The 11,532-nt window shown below is 34.3% G+C and overlaps 1 pseudogene across 1 annotated transcript in view; it reads left to right on the forward strand.

Moving 5' to 3' along the window:
• Nucleotides 1-10,319, forward strand: part of EMBP1 (embigin pseudogene 1) — a 52,777-nt pseudogene extending 42,458 nt beyond the window's left edge. The window contains exons 4-8 of the transcript NR_003955.1: nt 659-786; nt 3,068-3,344; nt 4,195-4,228; nt 6,578-6,632; nt 7,207-10,319. The product of NR_003955.1 is annotated as an embigin pseudogene 1 (transcript). The remainder of the gene's footprint in view (nt 1-658; nt 787-3,067; nt 3,345-4,194; nt 4,229-6,577; nt 6,633-7,206) is intronic.
• The last annotated feature ends 1,213 nt before the right edge of the window (nt 10,320-11,532 follow it).

Below are 11,532 nucleotides of genomic sequence, written 5' to 3' on the forward strand. Positions count from 1 at the left end.
AATTCAGTGCCCATTTGTATTCTGTTTCTAATGGAATCTACTTCAAACTTCCTTGACTAGGAAATTTATCATAATGGATATTAGTATATATATATTTTTTACAAAACCACATGAAAGCATTTTTAAATCTTATTTTCTTTCTTACACTGTTCTCTTTCTGTTAATTTTCCTTTGTTCCTTGTTCCCACTTTCTCTAACTCTTTGCTGGCCTTTCATAAATTCGTATCAACTAAAGATTTCCTATCCTGGAAATTTTATCTTCTCACTCAAATGCTACCTGAGGTCAAAACTTTGAAGAAAGTAATTACTCTAAGGTAGCTTAGTAGGCGGGAAGAAAGAACAGGGGTTTGAAAATATGAAGCTTCTTTCTTACCCAAAACATGTAACTTATCCAAAAAGAAACAATACTTTTGTTGTTAGGCTCAATAATAGAAGACCTTCCATTTCTATACATTGGAGACAATTATATTGAATCTCTCTACTATTATTATTACTACTAACTACACCCTAACTACTATAAATTAGTTTCATTTATATATAACTGAAAGTATGTAAAATAATGTAATGAAAAAATGAAAGGAGACAATATCTGCACATTTAATACATTTCCTTTACCTAAATTCTTTCAGTAACATACATTTCTCTATTTTATTCTCAGTCCCTGAACTTCATGGGAAAAACAAGCCATTGATCTCTTACGTAGGGGATTCTACTGTCTTGACATGTAAATGTCAAAATTGTTTTCCTTTAAATTGGACCTGGTACAGTAGTAATGGGAGTGTAAAGGTAAGATATTTCCTTGATTTGAAGAAAACAACAACAACAAAAAACATTTATTTAATAAATAACAAGATTGTAACAGACTCAGCATTCCTAAGATGATTTATACTTTTGTTACCTTGTTGTTTAGCTTATGTTCATAAAGAAAGAGCAGTGACAAACGGAGTTGTCATTTGATGGTTTTTGGCATGTTTGCATTATACATATGAAGATACTCGTAACTTTTCATTAGCTTGTACTTTGTTTTTTAGGTTTAACAATTTAATTACATTCTTTGAAAAGAAATTACATTTTGTGTATAGTTGCCTAGTTTAGGAATAACCCCATTAGAAAATACTCTTTTGAAAATCATTCCATGAAAGTAACTAGAAAAAATGCTAGACACCTTTTTTGGGCTTCTGTCTCCTGAAACATCTGTGATAGAATGCAAAATAATGGCACTATTTGAGAAAATAATGAAAACTTTGTAACTTAATCTTACCTCTTAGGTTCTATCAGTAAGTGTTATTGGCCTTTTCAAGCTACCTGAGAGAAGCCTAATACTTTTAATTGCTTTTTTACTAAGATAAATCGCTATTCAAAGAGCTGACATTAAGAAAAACATGAGTATTTTATAAATAATTCCTGGTTTCCTTTCTTCTCCCCAAATCGCCTCTAATGGCAGGAAAATTTAGGACATTGTCCTTTAGGAGACACCCTTCCTCTGCCCTGGCACTAATAAGCATTACAATTAAAGTCCTGTTAAAGGCAAGCTATAATTGTAGAAGGAACATATGAGACAGTGTAGATGTTACAATGAAATATTAAATTCCTTCTTAGACAAAATTGGCGTTATTATAGACTATTGAAGGATGATAGATGACTCAGAAGGGAGTGTGACTTACTCTGTGCTAACAGGTTTAGTTTTTCAATGAAATAGTTCCAACCAAATCCCACAGATGCAGACTGAAGCCATTCCTACTCCTGCTTGTCTTCTGATGGATGATGAGGAAAGGCAATCATTGTGTATATGTAATTTTTTTTCAAAAAGTATAATTTTGTAAAAACAAATGTCAACTGTGGTATTTGAAATACACAGCTTTATTTATTGATGTGTATGTGGTACAACAATACGTGAAAAACATTAGCCTTCATCTAATTATATCAGATGTTGAAAATGTCATTTTAGACATACTGGTGCTTTTGTCCATTGCTATACTAGTCATTATCCTCTTAATTTAACTCTAAGCATGAGTCGTATTAGAGTGTGAGAAAAGTTTGGGGAACAGGGCGCAGGTCAAAACTTGAGCACAAATGCGTTTTCAAAATGTAGACCAACCAGGTGCATCAGAATCAGCTGGGTACTTATTAAAAATATGGTACTTTGATTGATTAGCTCTGACCAATCGGTACCAAACATTCCAGGCAGTGTTGTGCACATGGTGCCAGGTTGCTGTAATTTTTTTGTTTTTTGCACAAATAATATACTCACAGATAGTTCTTCCTTGGATAAGCTCTGAGAATATTTGTATGCAGATTAGCATTTATTGAATAGTACGGTTGAGTGATGGAGCAGGGAAAGCATCAAATGGCTTGGGAATAAAATTTAATTTAAATAGATTAAATAAAACAGCCCCAAATAGCTTAGTATGGCACCTTGTGAGTCTGTGGAAAACCCTGCAAATCTTAGAAGCCAGCTTATCTGAGAGAGAAAGAAATTCAGATATGAAAAGACAGAAGGTGTGCAGTTCACTTCAGACCCCAGGCTCACAGAGGGTCCCCTCCATTCTATCTACATCAGCTCCAAAAGGCCTGAAAGTTTCATCTTCATTTCTAGCCTGGGGAAATCACATTGTCTGAGTGAGCGATTTTCCTGTATAGAAATGATCAGAAATAGTAGCTTCCAGGGTGGTAGTTGTTTGAATATGTGCCTGTGCTTGTGAAGGAAAAAGTACTTTGACTAAAGCACTAGGCAGGGATAGGAATGTGAGACTCAGATGACTGGGATTTTTCTGTTTTTAATTCTTCTATAATACTTAGCTATGATGACCTATTTGCTTCTTTGTAGTTTTAAACATTCAGTGCTAAATCCTTATCGCAATGTATACATTTTTTCTTTGTTTGCTCCCTGGGAGATCAAACTCTGATAAGACTTAAGTGTGTTATAGATAACCTCTCACAAATTTTAATATGCCTTTCTCTAGTAAGCAATGTTGTTGGCATTATCTTATAGCTTTCACTGAAAAACTATATCATGTATCTTTTATGTACTATGATAGGAATGGATTTTAATGTCTCCTCACATTAGGTTCCTGTTGGTGTTCAAATGAATAAATATGTGATCAATGGAACATATGCTAATGAAACAAAGCTGAAGATAACACAACTTTTGGAGGAAGATGGGGGATTTTACTGGTGCCATGCACTATTCCAATTAGACGAGAGTGAAGAACACATTGAGCTTGTGGTGCTGAGCTATTTGGTGCCCCTCAAACCATTTCTTGCAATAGTGGCTGAGGTGATTCTTTTAGTGGCCACCATTCTGCTTTGTGAAAAGTACACACAAAAGAAAAAGAAGCACTCAGGTGGGATTTCTTTTTTTTTTGTTTTGTTTTTTTCGAAAGTATTATCAGTTAATTATAAGTATTATTTACTTATGATATGGATTATGATTTGATACATTGCAATGACTTTAGGATTTTTGGGGAAAATCTTCATTTTCTTATTTGGAGCAGTATTTAGGTTTACAACAATGGTGACAGTGAGCTGGAAACATATCAATGGTCTTCCTGTTTCAATTCCTGAAAAAACTTAGTATTAAAAATGCCTTTTTTCTTTCTCTTCCCTGCCCCCTGCCCAACCCCCCACCTTTTTTTTTTGGTGCTACTGGTACCTAAGTACCAATTAGGTGATATGTATTCTGGCACTGGAATATTCGGAAAATCTATGATAGCTTAATATAAAAAGTCTCAAAGAAACAATTTTTCTTTCACTTAGATTATCATTTAAAAAATATTTTATTAACCATTCCAGAGTTCTCATTAAAGAGAGACCATCCTGTCATTTCCTATTTTTGCAGCCTGTGCCTGATGGGTTACAGGTTGATAAAGCAGTAATCCTAGAGAAAATTGACCTTACATCCTGTGTTCTTTCCTGATTTTATACTAAATTTTTAATGATTTAAATAATGACAAACTAAGCAGTCATGTTTTTGAAAATATCAGGCCACTAAACTATGTTTGATCAGAAATGCAGATAAGGTCTGTAGTGCAACTAAAGGAGGTGTAGGTGTTTAAGGTAGCATGTCTCTCCTTCATTCCAAACAAGAGAAACAGCATAGTACTTTCTTACTTAGGAAGGAGGTTTAATTGAGCATATACGTTCCATAAAAATGACAAACCAACTTCATAGTCAAATTCTTCTTTTGTTACACAGATGAGGGGAAAGAATTTGAGCAGATTGAACAGCTGTAAGTATTATTTTTTACAGATTAATTTTCGCTTGAGTAAAATACAGGGAAATATAAAATTGAATGAAATGTTTGCAGTTGGGGGAAAAAAGGCAGAGGAGTATTTTCTGTATATGCCCACGTGGTGGTGGAAAGTGGCATTCCAAGTCTGCCTGCCTGCGTGAGAATTCTTCTTCATCACTTACTACCTGCACTTCTCTGTACTTCAGCTTTCTTCTCTACAAAATGGATTTAATAATAGTACTCACCATATGAGGTTGTTGGATGGAATGAATATTATATATGTGTAAATGCATAGCATAGGTTATGGTGCACAGGTGTGCAGTAACCATCAGGAAGTATTTAATATTATTTTTTTAAAGCAATAGTTCTCAAGCCTGGCAATTTTTGATCACTTAAGAGTCTCTTTAAAAATACAGTTGCTCAGACCTTGCTGAATCTCCTGGACCAGAACCTCTTGGGTTGGGTCTGTGGCATCTGTATTTCTTGAAGACATCTACAAATGGTTTTGATCCTCTGTCTGTTGAAAATCACTGGCCTAGAATTCTATTAGTTATTATTATTCAGAGAACACAAATTATGTCACAGGTTCTCTTACACAGCCTTTGTTTAGAGTTAAGCATGAGTAGGTCTGGAAATAAAATCACCAGGGATGTAATTTAGTTTGGCAAAGATGGGAGTTCCGGATTCCTCCAAGCCAGAGAACTGAGTATGGAGGCTAGTGACAGAGGTGTCTAAGACTGGGATTAAAGCCTGAGCAATAGAGCCAAGGGCTGGGGGCCAGGAAAACGAGGCTAGATTAAAGTTGCTGCAAGAAACCTGAGACGTGGAAGGCCTGAGCAAGTATAACTAACACAAAATGGCACTTAGAGTTTATCAGCCAACAGGAGCTCTATGGAGTGAGTGTTATAGGCACGGATAGCAGGAGTGGAGCAGACAGTTGTCATTTAGATGTTTGTAGACATTATTCAAATAATCATGTTCACTCTGTTCACATAGGCTGGTAAAATAAACCAATATGATATGAGCTTCCAAGTTAAGGGCACAAAATAACTACGTCAGAAATCCTATAACACCAGATAGAGAAAAGCAGTGTTGTCTTAGAATCATAGACTCGCATAGTTGGAAGGGAATTGTATCTCTCCCAAGGGAATCCCTTCTCTTTCTGGAGAATGTAGACATCTTATTTATGTTGATTTGAACTTCTAATCTTTCCTGTTTCCATGTATTGGCCTTTTTCTTGTTCTTAGCATCATATAACAAACGTGACAGTCATTGACATACCTTGCTCGGATTCCTCTATTCTCTGAGCTGTGCCTCCCACTGTCTCTAACCATTCCTCTGAGCTCACATTTGGAAGTTGCATTCTGATTTAAAACACACTCTGAAAGGATGGTGCCAGAACAGTGTGGAATGGACCATCACTTCTGAACAATGTAAAATGGATTCAATCTATAGTGTAAAAGATGAATTATTTTTCTGAAAATTGGGTTAATGTACATCATTTTGCTCATCTTGTACAGCACCATAAGGATCACTGAAGGTGTTTAGTTTTTCTTTAGGTTATTTCACTATCTTTAGATTGTATACAGATATCAAGGACACTTGAACTCATTCAGAACAATGAGCTTTTTGGTGCCCCTCAAACCATTTCTTGCAATAGTTGCTGAGGTGTTTTCTTAGTGGCCATTATTCTGCTTTTGAAGAGTACACACAAAAGAAAAAAGCACTCAGGTGGGATTTCTTTTTTTTAGAAAATATTATCAGTTAATTATAAGTAACACTGTCTTATGATATGCATTATGATGTGATAATTGAAGCCTGCCCCCAAGACCTTGAAGGGCAAGGTATTCATTATGCGTACTGGTTATTTAGTTTTCGTCAATCTTTAGAATCTGAGGCCCACATTTGTAGTCCTGCTCTGATAAACTTTGGGTGGAAAAAGAACCATTTTTAAAACCTCTATTTCAGTGTAATAAGCATACAAATGTATAGCACCAATATCACACATGTTGGTTGACCTCCTAATTGGCTATTAGCTTGCATGTTTCCAAAACCACACATAAGTTATGGTCTTTATGCCCAAGTCCTCACTTATGCTTGGGGAGAAGCAATTCTCCCTGTGCATAAAATCAACAAGCCTTTGTCACTATCATTTGTGGTAACAGCTCCTCTTCAAGCAATGCCATAAAAATAAATTCAACATTGTAAGTAAAACATTTTTAGGAAGAAAGAATTCTGTCTGTATTGACATTTTACATTTTAACCTGATAGCCATATCAGTGATGTACTGACTTAATTTTATATAATATAAGCATTTAGTAATTTTCTTTTTTGTTTTCTGTACAGGAAATCAGATGATAGCAATGGTATAGAAAATAATGTCCCCAGGCATAGAAAAAATGTAAGTTACTTCTGAATGATATTCCAAATAAAAGGTAAAATTCAATATACATAGGCTATCTATTAATCAATTACTTTTTTTAGTTCCATAAAAGATCTGGTCATTTATGATGTGCTCAAATATGCTTGTTTACACTATTATAGGGGAAAATATGCAGTATAGTTATACAAAAATAAATACTTTCCTTTTCCACCAGAGGACACATAGCAACCAATCTAGAAGTAAATCTTTTGCAGTGGCTACATATTTTATTTTATCACCATGGACTAGTTTCTTTTACAATTTTTCATGTAGCTTTATTTGTTTTCCTCCCAAATTTTCTGGATTTTCTGTTATTTTAGTTTCATGTATTCCCATGTATTTGGGGGTGTAAACTTATGCATATAAGCTAACTTTCTTTGCTGATTAGATTCAAAATTTTTAGTTCATCAACATTACAGTAGGAGCTCTTTGTTTTGGTAGTAGATTGGATCCCTCACTTCCCAGTATTTTTTGCTTTGCTAAAGTGATAGTAAGTTACTGTAAAATAACCAGAACATACTAATTATATTTGATTATGCTTTATTTAACTCAGGAGTCTCTGGGCCAGTGAATACAAAACATCATGTCGAGAATCATTGGAAGATATACAGAGTTCGTATTTCAGCTTTGTTTATCCTTCCTATTAAGAGCCTCTGAGTTTTTAGTTTTAAAAGGATGAAAAGCTTATGCAACATGCTCAGCAGGAGCTTCATCAATGATATATGCTATCTCAGATCTAAAGGTATATTTTCATTCTATAATTATGTTACATAAAAGCAATGTAAATCAGAATAAATATGTTAGACCAGAATAAAATTAATTATATTCTGGTCTCCAAAGGACACACAGAACAGATATCAGCAGAATCACTTAATATTTCATAGAACAAAAATCACTCAAAACCTGTCTATAACCAAAGAATTCATGAAAAAGCCTTTGTCATTTGTCTTAGAAAGTTATTTTTTAAAAAAATCATGCTTACTATTAGTATCTATGGAAGTATATGTAACAATTTTTATGTAAAGGTCATCTTTCTGTGATAGTGAAAAAATATGTCTTTACTAAGTTGAAATGAATACTTTCTGCCTTTGCTAATGATAGTTATTCTATAATCTCCACAAGAAAAACATACCTTTTATCCAGAAATATTGGTTTAAGGCAAATAAATAAAACTGTGCTTGCTCTAAAGCTCTGCACTACAAAAGCAAATTTTCCAGTCTTTATTCCACTCATAACCACTGCTTTCCCCACCAGGCTAAAGTGCTTCTTAGTCTTTAGGTAGGGTTTTGAACTTCATAAGGTACACCGTTGTTCATGTTTTAGGGTGCAGGTCTGTATAGTTGTAATACTTAAAATACTGCTATACTGATGCTTTTGTGGCTCATGGTTTCCTGCTGTCTTTGATTTAACACCTGGCTTCCTGGTATCTATGACTGGTTAAATATCTAAACCTGCATTATTAGTGCTTTACAATAATAATTCCCTTGACTGAAGTCCAGAAGTACTAAAGTACTTCTTTTTTATTGCTGTGAATGCCTTAGACTTACCTTCAAAAGTAGGATACTTCATTTCTATTGCATATATAACTGAAATATTTTATAAACTCACTGTAATCAAATCTTATAAAATCTGAATCGACACGAAAAGTTGTCAGTGCTTGAATGAAATACTAAAATCATGCCACAGGATACTAGATAATGTAAATGACCATGATGTGTCCTTGGAGCTGATGGGTGTAGTGTCCCACTGCTCACAGGGCAACAACTTTAATAACAGAAGCAAAAAGTGGTGGTGTGGAACCCAAGATTCTTGGCGACTAGGGGATTTAAAGGTTGGGGAGGAGGAATTCAATGATTTGAAAAGAAATACTTTATAAAAATTTGCTCCATGTATTGGCTAAGAAAAATATAATAAAATTTGGTAGTGAAAATTATATCGCTAATGTTTACCAGTATTACTAGTATGAATAATACACATAAGGTAGTGACTTGGAAGCTGCTCAATACTTCGTTGCTATAACAAAATGCAATATTTTGTTGTAAAGCATCTTAACTACACATATAAGTTTGCTGAACTTGAATACATCCCAGTAATGGCAAACTTTATTTTATTCTTGGTTTTCATTTTATTCTGGTCTCAGGGCCATACATTTATTTTAGTTTAATTAATTATTATTTTGACAACATTACTCGGGTGATATCTATATAATGGTAGATAACCAATCAGTTAGCTTAATTAATCTAAACTATTTGAATTCAGGGAAATATTAGTCAAATCTGCTGTTTGACTAAATACAATTCAAAGCAATATATTTGTGACTGGGAATATAGAACACAAGGAAACAAATGCGTAGCCCATCTGCAGTATGCATTCTTCCATTTTACAACCACTAACCATTGAGGCTGATACAATTTTCAAGCAAGAAGCATTGCTTCCCAAAGGTAAAATAATCAGAAATATTTCTATAGTAAATTGAATTTTTAATTGGCAATACTGCTTATTTTTTTCTAGCAAAGACAATTTATTTCAGTAACCTTAAATAGGAAAAGTACTCAAAAATTAAAGTTGATTTTTTGGCTTTTTGTAGTCTCTCTAGAGGTCTTCTAGAAAATTACCACTGTTGGATTTTAATCTGCTTCCATTAACCAATCTTACAGAGATGATAAATGGATTAATACTGACCAACTATAAATTGACTGCAAATAATAAGCCACATAAAAGCTGAAGTAGGAAAACTACTCCAAGTTTATATATTAGGCACCTTGGGGAATTCTCTTAGTCTTTCCAGCTAACAAGGATTTTCAGCATAATAAGTAGATTTAATGATGGCATAAAATTCCCAGATACTTTCATATACATTTTTTGCCAAAGTGTAAATCTTCTCCTTTTGCAGTCTTTTTATTATCCCAACATCTAGCTGCTCAGGCCCCAATCTAGAACTCATTCTGATATTTTCTTCTTCTGTATTAATTAATACTTATGGGTCATGAATCCCTGCTCCTTTGACCTTTTTAATAGCTCATGAATCCACCCCATTGCCTCCCCAACTCTGCCCACACCAGCTGCAACAGCTAATGCCTTGATTTTCCTACCTCAGTCTCCTTTTCTATTAATCCCTCTTTTGCATGGCTGCTTGAGTCCACTTTCTCAAACACAAACCTCACTATGCAACTTTGGAATCTCTGTAGGCTTACCTTTGCCATTTCTTAATATTGCATTCTCCAAATTGCTAATCTCTATCCAGTCTCTTGAACTAGACTTGGTACATGGAGATTCCGCTCAGAAAGTGCTCTTCACACTTCTACCTGCTTGACTAACCCCAGATTATCTTTCAAGACTTTAATCTGATCTTGTGTCTTAGAGAAGCCCCCATACCTAGTAGAGCATGTACCATCTTACATGCTTAAGTAACTCCACATTTATTTGTGTTTATTACTCTGTGTTATAAATATACATTTGTTGGTCTCTCTCTTGGATTATTTTCTTTCTTTGTCCTGTAACTACCACTGAAAGGGTGCAATACAGATGTCTTGAAATGTGTGTTGAATGGATGAATATATAAATAAAAATGAAATTTTGTAAATTTCTACTTATTCTTAGAAAAACAATCTAAATTGTGACAAATCAGAATTGAAAAAAATATTCTAATAAAGAAAAACAAGCTTTTATAGCTTCAGTATTTGCTTCTTTTACTTTGAAAAACACATAGAATAGTATAAAGGTCTAGTCATATTTTCTGTAATAATGAATTAGTGTCTTGTGAGCAAAACGAGTTCTAATTCTAAACTATTACTAACTATTACACAGATTGTGTTGCTTTCAACTTATTTAAATTTCCTTTGTTCTTCATGTTTCATGGACAGTACAAATGCAAACCTTATTTTTATCCTTTATTCTAATAAGATAATGCATTGATTTTTAAATGTAAGGAATTTTAGGCCAGGCATGGTGGCTCACACCTATAATCTCAGAACTTTGGGAGGCCAAGGAGGATGGATCACATGAGGATAGGAACTTGAGACCAGCCTGGGCAACATAGTAAGACTCTGTCTGTACAAAAAATAAAAAAGAAATTAGCCAGGCATGGTACTTGCCTGTAGCTCCAGCTACTTGGGTGGCTGAGGCGGGAGGATTACTTGAGCCCAGGAGTTTGATGCTGCACTGAGCTATGATTGCCACTGCACTTCAGCCTGGGAGACAGAGGAAGACCCTGTATCTGTTCCCCCCGAAATTTAGCGATTGTATTCCTTTACATCATACAGTAGAGAGTTGATGTTTGTGTTCACTCCACTAACCTCATTCCACGTTCCCCTGCCAGTATACTTCAGAATATCTCAGATCCAATTCAAAATTTCATCTTAAAAGGTAGAATTATTTTCACAGTTTCACAGTTTAGTTTTGATTACTGAAAGCATTTCTTTCATTTTGTCTAATTGAACAAATTTATGCAAAGAATTGGGGACTTATTCCTCATTAGTATTGTTCATCTACAGGTGGAAATAAGTTCAAGTATGTGTTGCAGTATTAATTAAAGGCAAAGTGACCTACTTGTATTATATTCTGAATAAATAATGAATGAAAAATAGAAGAATGACTCAGTTATTTTAGACTCTTAAGTTATACAGATTTATGTAATGTCTATTTTGATTTTTATTAATTAACCATGAATTTATCCTACTCTAGTATTGAGAAAAAGAAAATGGAACTATGGGCCCTTCTTTCAAATGATACTTAGGAATGTATCTGCACTGTATCCAGAAGGTCAGTTACATGCCCTGTTACCAATTGAATTCTGCTTCACTAAGGATAATAATAACTGACATTGAGTGCATGGCACATGATGGGCACTGTGCAAAATGCTTTGACATGTTGTGTTCAT

This window comes from Homo sapiens, chromosome 1, assembly GCF_000001405.40.
Source record: "Homo sapiens chromosome 1, GRCh38.p14 Primary Assembly".
NCBI lineage: Eukaryota > Metazoa > Chordata > Mammalia > Primates > Hominidae > Homo > Homo sapiens.